The 22,000-nt window shown below is 36.6% G+C and overlaps 1 protein-coding gene across 24 annotated transcripts in view; it reads left to right on the top strand.

Moving 5' to 3' along the window:
* The window catches only part of WDPCP (WD repeat containing planar cell polarity effector), a 721,268-nt gene that overhangs the window by 437,970 nt on the left and 261,298 nt on the right, over positions 1-22,000 (top strand). For all 24 annotated transcript variants that reach the window (NR_148705.2, NR_148704.2, NR_122106.2 and 21 more), the window contains one exon: positions 20,763-20,951. Coding sequence is in view for 19 of the 24 variants with exons in the window: in XM_047444629.1 (XP_047300585.1) it covers positions 20,763-20,951 (189 nt within the window). In the remaining 5 variants the exon portion in view is untranslated. The remainder of the gene's footprint in view (positions 1-20,762; positions 20,952-22,000) is intronic.

Here is a 22,000-nt window from a genome sequence, read left to right as displayed (position 1 = left end):
CACAATGATTGAACTAATTTACACTCCCCCCTCACAGTGCATAAGCATTCCCTTTTTTCCACAACCTTGCCAGCATCTGTTATTTTTTTACTTTTTAATAATAGCCATTCTTTGTGGACCTGGGAGGCGGAGCTTGCAGTGAGCCAAGATCGTGCCACTGCACTCCAGCCTGGGCGACAGAGCAAGACTCCGTCTCAAAAAAAATAGCCATTCTGACTGGTGTGTGATGGTATCTCATTGTGGTTTTGGTTTGCACTTCTCTAATAATCAGTGATACTGAGCTTTTTTTCATATGCTTCTTGGCTGCATGTATGTCTTCTTTTGAGAAGTGTCTGTTCATGTCCTTTGCCCACTTTTATTTTATTTTTATTTTTATTTTACTTTAAGTTCCAGGATACATGTGCAGAATGTGCAAGTTTGTTACGTAGGTATACATGTGCCATGGTGGTTTGCTACACCTATCAACCTGTCATCTAGGTTTTAAGCCCTGCATGCATTAGGTATTTGTCCTAATGCTCTCCCTCTCCTTGCTCCCCACCCCCAACAGGCCCTTGTGTGTGTTGTTCCCCTCCCTGTGTCCATGTATTCTCATTGTTCAACTGTCACTTATGAATGAGAAAATGTGATGTTTGGTTTTCTTTTCCTGTGTTAGTTTGCTGAGGATGACGGCTTCCAGCTTCGTCCATGTCCCGGCAAAGGACATGATCTCATTCTTTTTTATGGCTTCATAGTATTCCATGGTGTATATGTACCACATTTTCTTTATTCAGTCTATTATTGATGGGCATTTGGTTGGGTCCATGTCTTTGCTATCTTAAATAGTTGTGTAATAAACATGCATGTGTCTTTATAGCAGAATGATTTATATTCCTTTGGGTATATACTCAGTAATGGGATTGCTGGGTAACATGGTATTTCTGGTTCTAGATCCTTGAGGAATCACCATACTGTCTTCCACAATGGTTGAACTAATTTACATGCCCAGCAGTGTAAAAGTGTTCCTATTTCTCCACAGCCTCACCAGAATCTATTGTTTTCTTGACCTTTTTTTTGAGACACAGTCTCACTCTGTCACCCAGGCTGGAGTGCAGTGGCGTGATCTCAGCTCACGGCAACCTCCACCTCCTGGGTTCAAGCAATTCTCCTGCTTCAGCCCCCTGAGTAGCTGGGATTACAGGCATGTGCCACCATGCCTGGCTAATTTTTGTATTTTTAGTAGAGACAGGGTTTTACCATGTTGCCCAGGCTGGTCTCAAACCAGCCTCAAGTGGTCTTGAGCTGGTCTCAAATCCTGACCTGAAGTGATCTGCCTGCCTCAGCTTCCCAAAGTGCTGGGATTACAAGTGTGAGCCACTGCACCTGGCCTCTTGACTTTGTAAATAATCACCATTCTGACTGATGTGAGATGTATCTCATTGTGGTTTTGATTTGCATTTCTCTAATGATCGGTGATGATGAGCTTTTTTTCATATGTTTGTTGGCTGCATAAATGTCTTCTTCTGAGAAGTGTCTGTTCGTATCCTTTGCCCACTTTTTGATGGGGTTGTTTGTTTTGTTCTTGTAAATTTGTTTAAGTTCCTTGTAGATTCTGGATATTAGACCTTTGTTAGATGGGTAGATTGCAAAACTTTTCTCCCATTCTGTAGATTGCCTGTTCACTCTGATGATAGTTTCTTTGGCTGTGCAGAGGCTCTTTAATTTAATTAGATCCCATTTGTCAATTTTGGCTTCTGTTGCAATTGCTTTTGGTTTTTTCGTCATGAAGTCTTTGCTCATGCCTGTGTCCTGAATGGTATTACCTAGGTTTTCTTCTCGGGTTTTTATGATTTTGGGTTTTACATTTAAGTCCTTTATCCATTTTGAGTTAATTTTTGTGTAAGGTATAAGGAAGGGGTCAGTTTCAGTTTTCTGCATATGGCTAGCCAGTTTTCCCAGCACCATTTATTAAATAGGGGATCCTCTCCCCATTGCTTGTTTTTGTGTCAGGTTTGTTGAAGATCAGATAGTTGTAGATGTGTGGTGTTATTTCTGAGGTGTCTCTTCTTTCTCTTCCATTGGTCTATATATCAGTTTTGGTACCAGTACCATGCTGCTATGGTTACTGTAGCCTTTAGTATAGTTTGAAGTCAGGTAGTGTGATGCCTCCAGCGTGTTCTTTTGGCTTAGGATTGTCTTGGCTATATGGGCTCCTTTTTGGTTCCATATGAAATTTAAAGTAATTTTTTCTAAGTCTGTGAAGAATGTCAATGGTAGTTTTATGGGAATAGCATTGAATCTGTAAATTACTCTGGCTTTGCCTACTTTTTAACGGGTTTGTTTTTCTCTTGTAAATTTGTTTAAGTTCCTTATAGATGCTGGATATTAGACCTTTGTCAGATATACAGTTTACAAATATTTTCTCCCATTCTGTAGGTTGTCTGTTTACTCTATTCATAGTTTCTTTTGTTGCAATTGCTTTTGGCGTCCTTGTCATGAAATCTTTGCCTATTGTCCAGGATAGTATTGCCTAGTTGTCTTCCAGGATTTCTATACTTTTGGGTTTTATATTTAAGTCTTTAATCCATTTCCAGTTGATTTTTTATGTATCAACCAAGAGACTTTAAAATAAAATGTTATTATGATGATTCACTTGCCTATTGTAGCTTTGCATTACTAGCTGTGCCCTGAAATATATGATATACTTTAGGTAGATTTCTACAATTTAACATTCTTGAGAGAACCTCACTTAGGTGTAAAAAATAAATTTTAATTAATGTACATTATGGCTATTTGAAAACATAGGTAAATACATTTTAAAACCCTTTATGGAATTTGGCTCTATGGTACAAAGTTAGATTTTTAAAGACATTGTAGTCTTTGTTAAATAGCTTTCAATTTACTTTATTTTTTCATGGATCTGCTTGTCTCTGAAGTTGAATACATGAAATAAATCTAGTGAACATGATTTGATTTACCTGAAAGATATAATACATACAATGTGAGACCTATGTTCTTTTCACATAATAAAAATGCAGCTAAATCTATTCATAATGTTAATATTGTTCAAGAAAAAAATGTTTGGAGTCTCATTTATTACGAGATAATCCAGTTATACTTTGCCTAACTACATGTTTAACAGTTGTATGTCTCCATACACAACACTAATTAAAGTGGATGTTTGATGTTTTGCATGTCTGTTAAAACACACACACATGCATGCACTCATGCTCTCTCTTTCTCACATACTCTGTCTCTCTCTCTTCCCGCCCCCCGCCCTTCTTCCTCTCTCTCTCTCTCTCAATCTCTCCTTTCACCCTCTAAATTACCCAGTTACCTGTCAAACAGAAGGCTTTCTGCCCATGTACACCTAGCTTTTCTTCAGCCCTCCCTTGTGGGCCTACTCACAACAGCTTTGCAAAAAGCACAGCTTTCTCTTCCTATCTCTAGCACATTTGCCTTCTTACTAAAGTAAACAGGCTCTCAGTGTAGGGATTTAGAGGGCTTCCTGCTAATTGCCAGCTTGTAAACTTAATTGGACTGTCTCCCTGGGCACTGTTCCTAAATCAATTAGGCAATGAGTTGGCTGTCACCTCTTTTTCCCAAGAAGGTCTCTTGGAAGAGAATTATCCAATAGAAGTCAAGCATTCAAATGAAAAGGTGATAACTTTTGCAACTGACATTTATCATTTAAATTTTATTTTCAATATGACTCTTAAGTTTTATAGAATAGGGAAACTGTACAGTCTTATAGGCTCTTTAAAAGATCTAAATGTGGAATTTCCAAGGATTTTTTAAAGTTTTGTTTCTCATTTTTAATGTATAAGATTAATATTTATTACAAAGTATTTTTCCTCGGAAGAGTAGATTCCTTGAAATAGAAGATTCCAACTAGCAGATTTTTAAAAGAAAACCCAGTATAAAGAACAGATTTTTCTTATGATCTGCTACTAAATACATCCAAAAAAATTAATATACTTCTTGAATTTGTCAGTGCTGATTCTGGGCATCCATGTGGAGTTTTCATGTATAATTCAAGTTACTGCATATATAAACAGGTAGTTGCATGTGCAGTTTTCCCACTAGGGAGCATTTATGAGATTTTTTTTTTTTTCAGATGCTTGTTATGCAAGCCTTTGGAAAATTTGACATGAAAGGTGTAGCTTACAATTTAAAATTGTAAAGATAGATCATGGGTCGTAGTTTAAAATAGAATGCTTTCATATGTAAACGTGACAGTGCCTAATGCCAATATGCTAAGATTTTTGGAGTTAGACTCTTAGATTAGGTCAGTTAGTGTAATGTTGAAGGAACATTGCTCCAAGGCTAGAGCTTCCATTTCTTAATCCTTACAATGATCACACAAATGTGTTGGGCATTAAAAGTCCATCATTCTTGTCATTAGAATAATTCAAAGATTATGTCTTCCTTAGGAGGTAATTAGAAGTGTCATTACATGGAAGCCAAGAAATGTTGTTTTATAGAAAGCAATATGTATTCAGAATCTCTTTATGTGGCAATAATTATAACATATTTCTTCATATATAGACTGAGATTAATTTTAAAAAGTGGAGGCCCTAATTATACTATTAAGATATTAAAGCTTTTCCATTCTCACCAGTACCTTTTCCAACCTTCACTGCTCTCCTTAAACTCACATTATCAGCTCCCTATTCCTCTCAACAGAGCATCTCACCTTTTGTCAGTTCATTAAGTTTATCTGCTTCTTACGACGCCCCCACTCAACCACTTATCAATATGCACATGAATCTTTCCCTCTCAGTTCAGTGAAAAAGAATCCCTTCCTCTTGTCCAAGACTAGCGCCACCACTATTTGCTCTGTGGATCCCATAACATTCCCTTTGACACCTTTACTTTGTCACCCTCCCCGGCCCCATCTATCTTGGAACAGCAGCAGATAAACAGGCCCAAACTACACCATAAAAACAGACTAACAAAACTCTTCCCTAAAATGGTTTCCCATCTGTTGCTGATCTAATATTCACCTTCCTTTCATAGCCAAACTCATTGAAATAATACTGAACATTGCCTTTTCTCTGCTTCTTCACTTCTCACTCCTCAGAACACTGTGCTCTGGCTGTATCTTCTGCGGTGTCTCAGAACTGCTCTTGGAAAAGTCACCAGTCACTTCCTACTTGATAAATACATGTCTCTTACATTGTTTGATGACTTTTCAGCATTTGATGGTTGCTGACCACTCCCACTTTCACAGAACCCTCATCAAACAGCCTTCTATGATCCCAAATGCAACTTTCTATCACATTTTTATGCTCTTCTTCTGCCTACTCATGAAAATGTTGGGGCCATCCAGGCTTCCATTTTTAGCCCTCACTTTGTGCAGGTTTATACTTTATTTTCAGTTTTGTTATCTGATCTCTGACTCCAGCCCAGACCATTCCTGACTCCACATCCACATATTCATCTGGCTTGCTGAATAACTTCTCTTGGATGTACATGTGTGCCTTAGACTCATTATGTGCAGACATGAAGTCATCTTTTTTCTCTCCAGACCTGCTTTTCCTCTCGTATTCTTCTTTTTGGTGAATGGTACAATTATTCAGATGGAACGTCCAAGTCAAAAGTCGTTCTAGAATCCTCCCTCACTCCTAATGCCACATCCAATTAGTGACCAAATCCTATCGATTCGGCCTTCTAAATACAGTCAAAACATTTCATTCAATTCAGCGTCACTGTCATTGCTTTAATGTAGACCTTCTCTATTTTACCATGATCAAGCAGAGGCCCTGTATCTATATTCTTCTGCCTTCCAGTCTTGTCATCCTACTCCGCAGTTAATCCCCTGAGTGCTATCCTAGTGATCCTTCTAACAGTACAGATTTGGTCATGGATTCTCCAGCTTGAAATACTTCATGTCTTTTGTGGGAACATGGATGGAGATGGAGGCTATTATACTTAGCAAACAAATGCAGGAACGAAAACCAAATACCACATGTTCTTACTTATAAGTGGGAGCTAAATGCTGACAACTCATGAACACAAACAAATGAACAGCAAACACTGGGGTCTACTTGAGGGTGGAGTTTGGGAGGAGGGAGAGAAGCAGAAAAGGTAACTATTGGGTACTGAACTTAATACCTGGGTGATTAAATAATCTGTTCAACAGGCCCCCATGATATGAGTTTACCTACGTAACAAACCTTCACATGTATCCCCAAACCTAAAATAAAAGTTAAAAAAAAAGAGAAATACTTTAGTGGTTGATAAGCCCTTTCCTGCCACTTGGTCTTTATCTCCCCAGCTGAGTTGCACTAGTGTAGCTTCCCAGCCATGGTGTGTGCTCTCACGCTCACTCCTTCCATGTTGGTGATGATAGTATTCCCTTTGCCTAAAGTGTCCCCACAATGCCCTCATAGAGTGTGCAAAGTTAGGAAAAGGTTACATGTTCAAGTGATGATGTTAAACAAGAGGTAATTAAAGCTAACATCTTCACTCTCATAGAATTTTTAAAATCACAGGCAACGTGTGTATGTGTGTGTATGTCTGTCTGTCTCTCTTTCTAAAAAACAAACAGTATGATTTTTCTCTTGGAAATTTGGTACAAAGCAATTTTCCTCAAGAGTTATTTTCAAAGAGTTATTTTAACATTATACTTTACCCAAGTGGTATTAGGTTATTTATTGCTGAAAATGCTAGACACTTTGTTAGATGCCTACTCATCTTAAAATTGGATCTCATATCATTTAAAATGAACTTTTATTCTAGACAGGCTTCTACTTTCTTCAAACTAGAGTGATGATGAATTTTAAAAATCAAGTTTATTGAGGTATAATTTACATAAGTAAAATACACACATTTAAAATGTACAGTTAAGGCCAGGCACGGTGGCTAATACCTGTAATCCCAGCACTTTAGGAGGCCGAGGTGGGCGGATCACCTGAGGTCAGGAGTTTGAGACCAGCCTGACCAACATGGTGAAACCTGTCTGTACTAAAAATACAAAAAAATTACCTGGGTATGGTGGCACATACCTGTAATCCCAGCTACTCAGAAGGCTGAGACAGGAGAACCGTTTGAACTTGGGAGGCGGAGGATGCAGTGAGCCGAAATCGCGCCATTGCACTCCAGCCTGGGCAGCAAGAGCAAAACTCCTTCTCAAAAAAAAAGTACAGTTCAATGAGTTTTGACAAATGTATATACCCTCATGATTACCACCACAATCATAATATAGAACATTTCCGTCATCCCAAAAAATTCTCTCAAGGCCCTTTTCAGTTAATTCCCACCTCTCCGGAAGCTGATGAGCATTGATACGCTTTCCATTATTATAGATTATATTTGTTCATGTCCTTTGCAGCAACATGGATGGAGCTAGAGGCCATTATCCTAAGTGAAATGGCTGTAAAACAAAGTCAAAAACTGCACATTCTCATTTATAGGTGGGAGCTAAACAGTGGGTACACGTGGACATACAGAGTGGCGTAATAGACACTGGAGACTCCAAAAGGTGAGAGAGTGGGAGAGGGGTGAGGGATGAAATACTGCCTATTGAGTACAATGTTCACTGTTTGGGTGATAGGTACAGTAAAAGCCCAGACTTCATCAATGCAATATGTCTATGTAACACAACTGCACTTGTATCCCTAAATCTATAAAAAACATTTTTTAGATAAAAAAATAGATTCGATTTGCCTTTTCTAGAATTTCATAGAAATGGGATCATGTAGAAGGTACTCTTGTGTCTTGGTACTTTTGCTCAGCATTATTCTGTGACAATCTTCAACGTTAGTATGTATTTCTGTATTTTTTTGTTACATTACTGAGCAGTAGGTCATTATGTCAATACACCACAATTTTTTTAACTTTTAGGTTCAGAGGTACATGTGCAGGTTTGTTTTATAGGTACATTGCGTGTCTTGGGGGTTTGGTGTACAGATTATTTCGTCACCCAGGTAATAAGTACAGTATTCAATAGGCAGTTTTTCGATCCTTACCATCCTCCCACCCTTCACCCTCAACTAGGCCCTGTTGTCTATTGTTCCTTTCTTAGTGTCTGTAAGTACTCAATGTTTAGCTCCCACGTATAAGTGAGAAATGTGGTGTTTGGTTTTCTATTCCTGTGTTATTTCATTTAGGATAATGGCCTCCAGCTGCATCCATCTTGCTGCAGAGCATATCATCTCATTCTTTTTTATGGCTATGTAGTATTCCATGGTGTATATGTACCACATTTCCTTTATCCAGTCTACTGTTGATGGGTATTTGGTTTGATTCCAAGTCTTTGCTATTGTGAGTAATGCTGTGACAAACATACGTGTGCATGTGTCTTTATAGTAGAACAATTTATATTTCTTTGAGTATATACCCAGTAATGAGATTGTTGGGTTGAATGGCAATTCTGTTTCAAGTTCTTTGAAAAATGCCCAAACTGCTTTCCACCATGTCTGAGCTAATTTACGTTCCCACTAGCAGTGTATAAGCATCCTCTTTTCTCTGCACCCTCACCAGCATCTGTTTTTTTTTTTAGCTTATTAATAATAGCCATTCTGACTGGTATGAGATGGCATCTCATTGTGGTTTTGATTTGCATTTCTCTGATAATTAGTGATGTTGAGCATTTTTTCATATGGTTGTAGGCTGCATGTATGTCTTCTTTTGAAATGTCTATGTTCTTTCCCAATTGTTAATGGGGTTGTTTGTGTTTTGGTTGTTCATTTGTTTAAGTTCCTTAAGATTCTGGATACTAAACCTTTGTCAGATGCATAATTTGCAAATATCTTCTCCTATTCTGTAGGTTGTCTGTTTACTCTGTTGATTGTTTCTTTAGTCTCATTTGTCAATGTTTGGTTTTGTCACAACTGTTTTTGGCGCCTTTGTCATGAAATCTTTGCCAGGGCCTGTGCCCAAATGGTATTTCCTAGGTTACCTTGCAGGGTTTTCATAGTTTTAGGTTTTACATTTAAGTCTTTAATCCATCTTTAATTGATTTTTCTGTATGGTGTAAAGATGGGGTCCAGTTTCAATCTTCTGTATATGGCTAGCCAGTTATCCCAGTACAATATACTGAATAAGAAGTCCTTTCCCTGCTTGTTTTTGTTGACTTTGTCAAGATCATATGGTTGTAGGTGTGTAGCATTATTTCTGGGCTCTCTATTCTGTTTCATTGGTCTCTGTGTCTGTTTTTGTACCAGTACCATGCTGTTTTGGTCATTGCATCATTGTGGTATAGTTTGAAGTTGGGTATGTTGTGATGCCTCCAGCTTTGTTCTTTTTGTTTAGGATCGTGTTAGCTATTCAGACTCTTTTTTTGGTTCCATATGAATTTTAAATTAGTTTTTCTTTTTTTTCCCCTTTTTTATTTTATTTATTTTTATTATACTTTAAGTTCTAGGGTACATGTGCACAACATGCAGGTTTGATAAATAGGTATACATGTGACATGTTGGTTTACTGATCAACTAGTCATTTACATTAGGTATTTCTCCTAATGCTATCCCTCCCCTAGCCCCCCACCCGCTGACAGGCCCCAGTGTGTGATGTTCCCCTTCCTGTGTCCAAGTGTTCTCATTGTTCAGTTCCCACCTATGAGTGAGAACATGCAGGGTTTGGTTTTCTGTCTTTGTGATAGTTTGCTGAGAATGATGGTTTCCAGCTTCATCCATGTCCTGGCAAAGGACATGAACTCATCCTTTTTTATGGCGGCATAGTATTCCATGGTGTATATGTGCCACATTTTCTTAATCCAGTCTATCACTGATGGACATTGGGTTGGTTCCAAATCTTTGCTATTGTGAATAGTGCCGCAATAAACATGTGTGCATGTGTCTTTATAGTAGCATGATTTATAATCCTTTGGGTATATACCCAGTAATGGGATTGCTTGGTCAAATGGTATTTCTAGTTCTAGATCCTTGAGGAATCGCCACACTGTCTTACACAATGGTTGAACCAGTTTACAGTCCCACCAACAGTGTAAAAGTGTTCCTATTTCTCCACATCCTCCACAGCATCTGTTGTTTTCCTGACTTTTTAATGATCGCCATTATAACTGGCGTGAGATGGTATCTCATTGTGGTTTTGATTTGCATTTCTCTGATGACCAGTGATGATGAGCATTTTTTCATGTGTCTATTGGCTGCATAGATGTCTGCTTTTGAAAAGTGTCTGTTCATATGCTTTGCCCACTTTTTGATGGGGTTGTTTGTTTTTTTCTTGTAAATTTATTTGAGTTCTTTGTAGATTCTTGATATTAGCCCTTTGTCAGATGGGTAGATTGCAAAAATTTTCTCCCATTCTGTAGGTTGCCTGTTCACTCTAATGGTAGTTTCTTTTGCTGTGCAGAAGCTCTTTAGTTTAATTAGATCCCATTTGTCAATTTTGGCTTTTGTTGCCATTGCTTTTGGTGTTTTAGACATGAAGTCCTTGCCTATGCCTATGTCCTGAATGGTATTGCCTAGGTTTTCTTCTAGGGGTTTTATGGTTTTAGGCCTAACATTTAAATCTTTGATCCATCTTGAATTAACTTTTGTATAAGGTGTAAGGAAGGGATCCAGTTTCAGTTTTCTACCTATGGCTAGCCAGTTTTCCCAGCACCATTTATTAAATAGGGAATCCTTTCCCCATTGCTTGTTTTTGTCAGGTTTGTCAAAGATCAGATGGTTGTAGATGTGTGGTGTTATTTCCAAGGCCTCTGTTCTGTTCCATTGGTCTATATCTCTGTTTTGGTACCAGTACCATGCTGTTTTGGTTACTGTAGCCTTGTAGTATAGTTTGAAGTCAGGTAGTGTGATGCCTCCAGCTTTGTTCTTTTTGCTTAGGATTGTCTTGGCAATGCAAGCTCTTTTTTGGTTCCATATGAACTTTAAAGTAGTTTTTTCCAATTCTGTGAAGAAAGTCATTGGTAGCTTGATGGGGATGGCATTGAATCTATAAATTACCTTGGGCAGTATGGCCATTTTCACGATATTGATTCTTCCTATCCATGAGCATGGAATGTTCTTCCATTTGTTTGTGTCCTCTTTTATTTCCTTGAGCAGTGGTTTCTAGTTCTCCTTGAAGAGGTCCTTCACATCCCTTGTAAGTTTGATTCCTAGATATTTTCTTCTCTTTGTAGCAGTTTTGAATGGGAGGTCACTCCTGATTTGGCTCTCTGTCTATTATTGATGTATAGGAATGCTTGTGATTTTTGCACATTGATTTTGTATCCTGAGACTTTGCTGACATTGCTTATCAGCTTAAGAAGATTTTGAGCTGAGATGATGGGGTTTTCTAAATGTACAATCATGTCCTCTGCAAACAGGGACAATTTGACTTCCTCTTTTCCTAATGGAATACCCTTTATTTCTTTCTCTTGCCTGATTGCCCTAGCCAGAACTTCCAATATGTTGAATAGGAGTGGTGAGAGAGGGCATCCTTGTCTCGTGCCGGTTTTCAAAGGGAATGCTTCCCGTTTTTGCCCATTCAGTATGATATTGGCTGTGGGTTTGTCATAAATAGCTCTTATTGTTTGGGGATATATTCCATCAATACCTAGTTTATTGAGAGTTTTTATCATGAAGTGCTGTTGAATTTTGTTGAAGGCCTTTTCTGCATCTATTGAGATAATCATATGGTTTTTGTCGTTGGTTCTGTTTATGTGATGGATTACGTTTATTGATTTGCGTATGTTTAATCAGCCTTGCATCCCAGGGATGAAGCCAACTTGATCGTGGTGGATAAGCTTTTTTGATGTGCTGCTGGATTCGGTTTGCCAGTGTTTTATTGAGGATTTTTGCTTCGATGTTCATCAGGGATATTGGTCTAAAATTCTCTTTTTTGTGTGTGTCTCTGCCAGGCTTTTGTATCAGGATGATGCTGGCCTCATAAAATGAGTTAGGGAGGATTCCCTCTTTTTCTATTGATTGGAATAGTTTCAGAAGGAATGGTACCAACTCCTCTTTGTACCTCTGGTAGAATTTGGCTGTGAATCCGTCTGGTTCTGGACACTTTTTGGTTGGTAGGCTATTAATTATTGCCTCAACTTCAGAGCCTGTTATTGGTTTATTCAGAGATTCAACTTCTTTCTGTTTTAGTCTTGGGAGAGTGTATATGTCCAGGAATTTATCCATTTCTTCTAGATTTTCTAGTTTATTTGCATAGAGGTGTTTATAGTATTCTCTGATGGTATTTCTGTAGGATAGGTGGTGATATCCCCTTTATCATTTTTTATTGCATCTATTTGATTGTTCTCTCTTCTTTATTAGTCTTGCTAGCGGTCTATCAGTTTTGTTGATCTTTTTGAAAAACCAGCTCCCGGATTCATTGATTTTTTTGAAAGGTTTTTTTGTGTCTCTATCTCTTTCAGTTCTGCTCTGATCTTAGTTATTTCTTGCCTTCTGCTAGCTTTTGAATGTGTTTGCTCTTGCTTCTCTATTCTTTTAATTGTGATGTTAGGGTGTCAATTTTAGATCTTTGCTGCTTTCTCTTGAGGGCATTTAGTGCTGTAAATTTTCTCCTACACATTGCTTTAAATGTGTCCCAGAGATTTTGGTACATTGTGTCTTTGTTCTCGTTGGTTTCAAAGAACATCTTTATTTCTGCCTTAATTTCATTATTTACCCAGTAGTCAGTCATTCAGGAGCATGTTGTTCAGTTTCCATATAGTTGTGCGGTTTTGAGTGAGTTTCTTAATCCTGAGTTCTAATTTGATTGCACTGTGGTCTGAGAGACAGTTTGTTGTGATTTCTGTTCTTCTACATTTGCTGAGGAGTGCTTTACTTCTAATTATGTCGTCAATTTTAGAATAAGTGCAATGTGGTGCTGTGAAGAATGTATATTCTCTTGATTAGGGGTAGAGAATTCTGTAGATGTCTATTAGGTCTGCTTGGTGCAGAGCTGAGTTCAAGTCCTGGATATCCTTGTTAACCTTCTATCTCATTGATCTGTTGAATATTGACAGTGGGATGTTAAAGTCTCCCATTATTATTGTGTGGGAGTCTAAGTCTCTTTGTAGGTCTCTAAGGACTTGCTTTATGAATCTGGGTGCTCCTGTATTGGGTGCATATATATTTAGGATAGTTAGCTCTTCTTGTTGAATTGATCCCTTTACCATTATGTAATGGCCTTCTTTGTCTCTTTTGATCTTTGTTGGTTTAAAGTCTATTTTATCAGACCCTAGGATTGCAACCCCTGCTTTTTTTGCTTTCTATTTGCTTGGTAGATCTTCTTCCATCCCTTTATTTTGAGCCTATGTGTGTCTCTGCACGTGAGATGGGTCTCCTGAATACAGCACAGTGATGGGTCTGGACTCTTTTTCCAGTTTGTCTGTTTGTGTCTTTTAATTGGGGCTTTTACCCCATTTACATTTAAGGTTAATATTGTTATGTGTGAATGTGATCCTGTCATGATGTTAGCTGGTTATTTTGCCTGTTAATGGATGCAGTTTCTTCATAGCATGGATGGTCTTTATAATTTGGCATGTTTTTGCAGTGGCTGGTACCAGTTGTTCTTTTCCATGTTTAGTGCTTCCTTTAGGAGCTCTTGTAAGGCAGGCCTGGTGGTGACAAAATCTCTCAGCATTTGTTTATCTGTAAAGGATTTTATTTCTTTTTCACTTATGAAGCTTAGTTTGGCTGGATATGAGATTCTGGGTTGAAAATTCTTTTCTTTAAGAATGTTGAATATTTGCCCCCACCCTCTTCTGGCTTGTAATGTTTCTGCAGGGAGATCTGCTGGTAGTCTGATGAGCTTCCCTTTGTGGGTAACCCAACCTTTCTTTGTGGCTTCTGTTGACATTTTTTTCTTCATTTCAACCTTGGTGAATCTGACGATTATGTGTCTTGGGGTTGCTCTTCTTGAGGAGTATCTTTGTGGTGTGTTCTGTATTTCTTGAACTTGAATGTTGGCCTATCTTGCTAGGTTGAGGAAGTTCTCCTTGCTAATATCCTGAAGAGTGTTTTCCAACTTGGTTCCATTCTCCCCATCACTTTTAGGTACACCTATCAAACCTAGATTTGGTCTTTTTACATAGTCCCATATTTCTTGGAGTCTTTATTCGTTTCTTTTTACTCTTTTTTCTCCAACCTTGTCTTCTCGTTTTATTTCATTAATTTAATCTTCAATCACCAATACCCTTTCTTCCACTTGATTGAATCGGCTATTGAAGCTTGTGCATGCATCACAAAGTTCTCGTGCCATGGTTTTCAGCTCCATCAGGTCATTTATGTTCTTCTCTACACTGTTTATTCTAGTTAGCCATTCGTCTAACTTTTTTCAAGGTTTTTAGCTTCCTCGTGATGGGTTTGAACATGCTCCTTTAGCTTGGAGAAGTTTGTTCTTACCAACCTTCTGAAGCCTACTTCTGTCAACTCGTCGAAGTCATTCTCCGTCCAGCTTTGTTCCACTTCTGGCGAGGAGCTGCGATCCTTTGGAGGAGAAGAGGCGCTCTGGTTTTTAGAATTTTCAGCTTTTCTGTTCTGATTTCTCCTCATCTCTGTGGTTTTATCTACCTTTGGTCTTTGATGTTGGTGACCTACAGATGGGGTTTTGGTGTAGATGCCCTTTTTGTTGATGTTCAATTCCTTTCTGTTAGTTAGTTTTCCTTCTAACAGTCAGATCCCTCAGCTGCAGGGCTGTTGGAGTTTGCTGGAGGTCCACTCCAGACCCTGTTTGCTTGGGTATCACCAGTCGAGGCTCAGTTGGAAATGCAGAAATCACCCGTCTTCTGTGTCAGTCACACTGGGAGATGCAGACTGGAGCTGTTCCTATTCAGCCATCTTGGAACGGCTCTCAAATTAGTTTATTTTTTTTTCTAATTCTGTGAAGAATGTCATTGGTAGTTTGATAGGAATAGCACTGGATCTGTAAATTGCTTTGGGCAGTAAAGTCATTTTAATGATATTGATTCTACCTATCCATGAGCTTTGAATGTTTTTCCATTTGTTTGTGTCATCTCTGATTTCTTTGAGCAGTGTTTTGTAATTCCTGTTGTAGAGATCTTTTACCTCTCTGTTAGCTGTATTCCCAGGTGTTTTATTCTTTTTGTGGCTTTTGTGAATGGGATTGTGTTGCTTATTTGGCTCTCAGCTTGGATGTCGTTGGTGTATGGAAATATTACTGATTTGTATACTTTAGTTTTGTATCGTGAAACTTTGCTGAAATTGTTTCTCAGATCTAGGAGCTTTTGGGCAGACTATTGGGTTTCCAGGTATAGAATCATATTTTCTACAAACAGAGATAGTTTGACTTCATGTCTTCTATTTGGATGTGTTTTATTTCTTTCTCTTGCCTGATGGCTCTGGCTAGGACTTCCGGTTCTATATTGAACAGGAATGGTGAGAGAGGGCATCCTTGTCTTGTTCCAGTTTTCCAGCTTTTGCCCATTCAGTATGATGTTGGCTGTGGATTTATCATAGGTTACTCTATTATTTTGATGTATATTCCTTCAATACCTAGTTTGTTGAGGTTTTTTTTCTTTTTTTTAACATGAAGCGATGTTGGATTTTATTGAAAGCCTTTTCTGTGTCTATTGAGACGATTGTGTGGTTTTTGTTTTTCATTCTGTTTATGTGATGAATCACATTTAGTGATTTGTGTATGTTGACCTAACCTTACATCTAGGGATAAAACCTACTTATTTGTGGTAGCTTTTCATTTTGATGTGCTGCTGGATTTCATTTGCTAGTATTTATTGAGGATTTTTACATCTACGTGTATCAAGGATATTGGCCATAAGTTTCCTTTTTTTGTTGTCTCTCTGCCAGATTTTGTATCAGGATGATGCTGGCCTCATAGAATGAGTTAGGGAGTCCTTCCTTCTCATTTTTTTGGAATAGTTTCAGTAGGAATGGTACCAGCTCTTCTTTATACACGTGGTAGAATTTGGCTGTGAATTGTCTGCTCCTAAGCTTTTTCTGATGGTAGGCTTTTTATTAGTGATTCAGTTTTGGAGCTTGTTATTGGTCTGTTCAGGGATTCAGTTTCTTCCTGATTCAATCTTGACAGGGTGTACGTTCCCAGAAATTTATTCATATCTTCTAGGTTTTCTAGCTTGAGTGCATAGAGGTGTTCCTAATATCCTCTGAGGGTTTTTTTTTGTATTTCTGTGCCACAGTTTTTTAATCCTTTCACATATTGATGGACGTTTGGTTTGTTTCCAGATTTTCGCTAACAGATTAAAAATGCTATGTACTTTCATCTACAAGTCTTTGTATGAACATATATTTTCATTTCTCTTGTCAAAAACCTACAAGTTTAAAATGGCTGGGCCATATGCTAAGTGTTTGTTCAACTTTAGAAGAAACTGTTTTCTAAAATGATTGTGTCATTTAGCATATCAGCAATTTATGGGAACTCTAGTTGCTCCAAGTTCTAACACTTGAAATTAATGGTCATTTTAATTTTAGCCATTCTAGTAAGTGTGTTGTGGTACTAATTTGCATTTCTCTGGTGACTGTTGGAATCAAGCATCTTTTCATGTGCTTATTTGTTGTATATCTTGTCTGATGAAGTATGTCTTCAAATCTTTTGCCCAAATTTAATTGGATTTTTTCTTTACTTATTCTTGAGTTGTAAGAGATTTTTTATGTATATTTTATGAATACAAGGCCTTTGTAAGATACTTGTATTGTGAATATTTTCTTTCAGCCTGTAGTTTACCCTTTCATTATTTTACCATTGTTTATAAAGTAGCAGAAGTTTTTAATTTTAATGAAATTCAGTTCATAATGTTCTTTGTTTTATGGCTTTTGCTTTTCACGTCCTAAGAAAACTCTTTGACGCAGGGTCACAAGGATTTTCTTATAGAAGTTTTGTGGGTTTAGCTCTTACATTTAGGTTGATGGTCTACTTCAAGTTAATTTTTTGCATATGGTATGAGGTATGGGTTGAGATTAATTTTTAATATAAATATTTATTGTTCCAGCACCAATTGTCAGAAAGAGTATTCTTTCTCCCATTGAATTACTTTGATCTATCAATAACTGTATTGTCTTTTAGTGAATTAAATGTCTGTACCTTAAGCAAGTACCATTCTGACTTGATTCCTGTGGCTTTACAGTAAGTGGCTTTACAGTAAGTCTTGAAATCAGGTACTGTTAGTCCTTCAACTTTATTCTTCTTTTTCCTATTATTTTGACTATTCTAGATCCTTTCCATGTCTATATAAGTTTTGAAACTGGCTTGTTTCACCTGATGGGATTTTGACTGAGATTGTGTTGGATCTATAGATCATTTTAGGGAGGAATGATTCTTAACAATATTGAGTCTCCTAATCCATAAAAGTAGTACCCTTCTCCAATTATTTAGGTGTTCATTAGTTTCTCTCTGCGTAGTTTTATAATTTTAAGTGTAAAGGTCTTGTACATGCTTTGTTATATTTATCCCTAAGTATTGCATGTTTTTGGATTATATTGTAAATATTTTTATTACAATTTTTATTGTTCATTGGGATTATGTAGAAATAAATTTTTAAAATATTGACTATGTATCCTGCAATCCTGTTAAGCTCATTCTTAGCTGAAGTAACTTGGAATCCTTAGGATTTTCTACATAGATGACCATGACAACTGGATTTAGAAGTGTTACATCATCTTATCTAAACTGTGTGCTTTTTATTTTATTCTCTTCACTTCTTACAGCTAGGACATCTGGTACAATATTAAATAGAAATGGTAAGAGAGGACATCCTTTCTTTGTTTCCAATCTTCGGTGGAAAACATTCAATCTTTCACTATAAGTATGATGGTATTATATTGAGGAAGTCCCTTTCCATTCCTAGTCTGCTGAGATATATTAAGTGGATGTTGAATTTTTTTTCCAAGTGCTTTTTCTGCAGCAATTGAAATGATTATAGGTTTTTTCTCTTTTTTCTCATCATAAGGTAAATTATATTGATTGGCTTTCAGATGTTTAAGCAACCTTGCATTTGTGGGAGTAATCTTGCTTGTTCATGGTATATTATCTTTTTAATATATTGCTGGATTTGCTAATATTATGTTAAGGGTTTTTGTGTTTGTTTATGGGAAATATTGGTCTGTAGTTTTCTTTTTATTTTCTTGTAATATCTTCATTTTTGGTGTCAGTGTAATTCTAACCACATGAAATGAGTTGGGAAGTATTCTCTCTTATAATTTGAGTTGTATTGAATTTATATTATTTCTTCTTTTGTTAATTTTTTTTTTTTACGTATTACTATTTTTTTTTAGAGACACAGTCTTGCTGTCTTGCCCAGGTTGGACTTAAAACTCTTGGGCTCAAGCAGTCCTCCCGCCTTAGCCTCCTGTGAGGCTGGGACAATAGGTGTATGCCACTGTTCCTGGCTTTATTATTTCTTCCGTTAATGTTTGAGAGAATTCACCAGTGAAGACATCTTAACATGCAGGTCGTGTTTAATTATGTGTGTGCATTGGTGCACGTGTGTGTGTGTGTATGTGTAAAGGTTTTTTTAACAATGACTTCAAACTTAAATAATATAGAGCCATTCAAGTTTATTCCTTCTTGAGTGAGCTTTGATAGTTTGGGTCTTTCAAGGAATCCATTGCATTTAGGTTATATTTGTTCATATAAAAACTAATTATTCACTGATTTTAAATGTCAGTAGTTCTGTAGTGATCATTCTTATATTGGTAATTGTATCATCTCTCTTTTTTTCTCAGCTGAGACAGAAGTTTGTCAATTTTACTGATCTTCTCAAAGAACAAGCTGTTGAATTCATTGATTTTTCTATATTTGTTATTTACTATTTACTGTCTTTATTATTTCCTTCCATTTACTTTGGGTCTTACTTTAATTCAATTAAAAATATTTTCTAATATACTTTGTGACATTTTTTTCTTTGACCCATAGGTTATTTAGAAGGATGTTGCTTAACTTCTAAATATTTGGGGATTTTCCAGATAATTTTTCTGTTACTGATATTTAATTCTATTGTGGTCAGAGAAAATGCTCTTACGATTTTAAAACTTTTAAATGTATGTAGCTTCATTATATTACTCAGAATATGCTCTATCTTGGTCTGTGTTATGTGTGCACTTAAAAAGAATGTATTTTACTGTGGTTGGGTGCAGTGTTTTATAAATGTCAATTAGGTCAAATTCATTGATAGTGTTTTTCAAGTATTTCCTATACTTACTGATTTTTTGCTTACATATTCTCTTGATTATTAAAAGTGCTGAAATCTCCAATTATAATTTTATTGATTGATTGATTGATTGAGACAGAGTCTCACTCTGTCACCCAGGCTGGAGTGCAGTGGTGTGATCTTGGTTCAACGCAACCTCCACCTCCCAGATGCAAGCGATTCTCCTGCTGCAGCCTCCCGAGTAGCTGTGATTATTGGCCCCTGCCATCATGCTTGGCTAATTTTTGTATTTTTAGTAAAGACTGTTTTGCCATGTTTGCCATGCCTGTCTCGAACTCCTGACCTCAAGTGATCTGCCTGCCTTGGCCTTCCATAGTGCTCAGATTACTGGCATGAACCACTGCCCCTGGGCACCAATTATAATTTTAGATCTGGCTTTTTCTCCTTTTAGTTCTGTCAGTTTTTGCTTTATTATTTCACAGCTCTGTTATTAGGTGCATTTAAGGATTGTTATCTTTCTTCATGAATTTTGGATCATTTTTATAAAGGTATAGAATTCTAGATTAATTTTTTTACCTCTCAGTACTTTTAAAATGTCTTGTTATTGTTTTCTGGATTACATAATTTTAGATGCAAAATCTGTAATCATTCATATCTTTGCTTTTTTGTACATCCAGTGTATTTTTTTTCCTGTGGTTGCCTTTTAAGATTTTCTCTTTATCACCTTTCAATGATTTTATTATGATTATATGTTAGCTTTTCTTCTCAATAGATGAGTTCTTTCTCTTGTTACTAGTAGAAGTATTACATAGGGTATAGGTGGAGTCAACAGACTTCAGATATTTTTGGTTTCCTGCAAAGTTCCTATGAATTAATATCTACTGCCAAGGAACCACCCTGATTTATGAGGACTTCCAATGCCTGACTGCAGGCTCATGAAGGCTGTTGGACGGTCACATTCTTTGATTTTACCAACACAAAAGGAATAGTAAAGTTTTACTGCTTAGTATAGTCAGGGCAATTCCCCAGATTCCCTATCAAGTTGAGTCCTGTTAATAGCACAAGTTTTCATTTTGATGTGATTTGAAGTTAGTATGAAGAATTTTAGCATCTTTCTCATGAACTAATACATTTTTTAAAATCCTGAAGCCTATAACTATTCCAGTTAAATGATGATGATGATGATAGTAATAAAAAGAATTACAGTAATATTTTATACTACTTTGTGGCTTAAAAGTAATTTCACATACATTTTCTCATTTTCTTTCATGATTATTTGTACTGAGAGGAAGTTTTTTAGACTTTAATCAGTAAACATTGAAGAAAAAAAGATTTTGTAACCTACCATTTTGAAAAGATTTAAAAAATTACATAAAACAAGCAAAAAACCTTGGTTTTTTTTGCTAGTACTTATTGTCATTTAATACACAGAAATTATTAATTTCAAATGAGGTCAGCCATATTTAAAAGACAATAAAACCAGAACAGAATGCCACCCCCCAATCTTTGTTTTATGCTCTTGGTCCTAAGAGTAAAAGTGAATTTTCTTTCATTTTAAAAGGATCAACAGATGTGTTTTTGTTGTTATCAGTGTATCTTATAGCAAATATTAGTTGAGAAGGAGATCAGTCCCACATTTCTAGCACTTAATGCAAGCAATATAGGTTTTTTTCTTTATGGAAAAATTAACTCTTTTTGTTATTCTATTTTATTTTAAAAGATTCACCTGGTTTTCCATGTTTTGTGATAGGCGTCTTCACTCGAGGACAGCTGGGCCTGATAGACATCATCTTCCAGTACATTCACTGTGATGAGATCTATGAGGCAATAAACATCCTGAGCAGCATGAACTGGGACACTCTGGGCCACCAGTGCTTTATCAGCATGAGCGCCATTGTAAACCATCTTCTTAGACAGAAGCTCACTCCAGAGAGAGAAGGTCAGACTTGAAATATTTTTCATTGATGAGTTTTGTATATACATGAAATAGATTTTATTGAGTTATTTTTTGAGGTTGTTTTTGAGTCATGGTATTGGAGATTAAATGATAAAAATGTTAGTGCTCTATTAAAACTGAAAGGATCAGATATCAAATAATTGCTCCCATATAGTACTTACTGTATAGTATTTGTCAACATAAAGAACAGCTTTTCTGTATATGCTTATGTTGGAGCTTACAGTGCAGTCATTGTACAATTCAGTCTAAGCTCACAGACAGAACATGCTCAGATTTCAAACTTTGATCAAAAATTTCATGTACTCCGTGGGGTCTGCTAGACAAAGGGCACCAAACAAAAGTCTTTATTCCTCCCTCACATTAGATATCAATATTTTTTTCTCACACCGAAGTCCTCTGTCCAGACAATAGTCCTTAACACTTCCTTTTTTTGTATATCTGAATTGTAGCCCAGGCCGCTCCTTCTTGTTTTCCTTATTCTGACTTATAGTTGTAACACTCTTCTCTCTTCTGCCTGCTTGGATTTCCTTACCTTTGCCCAATAAGTAATTTTGTTGATATATATCTAAGATGTTTAATTTTAAAAGAGAAGGTAAAAAAACTAAGGTCAGGGGGTGGGGCAGTGGGGAATGCTGTGACACATACAATAATGAAATAAATCTTTATATTTGCCAATTATCTAATAGTATTATTTTTCTTATAAGTTATTTACTTAATGTACAATGCACCTAAACATTCTAACATTTGCATCTTTCATATCTTTGTGGTAAGCATTGACATTAATGGTGGAAAATCATGGTGAATGAGAAACTGTCCCTAGGTAATTTACAAGATAGGAGGAACAGGAAATATGTCAAAAGATCTTTACTTGAAGAGCTTTTCTTTTCTACTTTCTTTGCATTTTTATAGATTTTTCTTATCCCACTTTATTACATTGCCAAAATAAACAAGTTGTTTGGATAGAATTCTGTAGGTAACCTTCATTTTAGTAATTTTAGAGAAGAATAATTAGTAAGTACATGCTTTTCCAG

This window comes from Homo sapiens, chromosome 2, assembly GCF_000001405.40.
Source record: "Homo sapiens chromosome 2, GRCh38.p14 Primary Assembly".
Taxonomy (NCBI): domain Eukaryota; kingdom Metazoa; phylum Chordata; class Mammalia; order Primates; family Hominidae; genus Homo; species Homo sapiens.
Note: the sequence above shows the minus strand (reverse complement) of the source record. Positions and strands in the feature narration are given on the sequence as shown.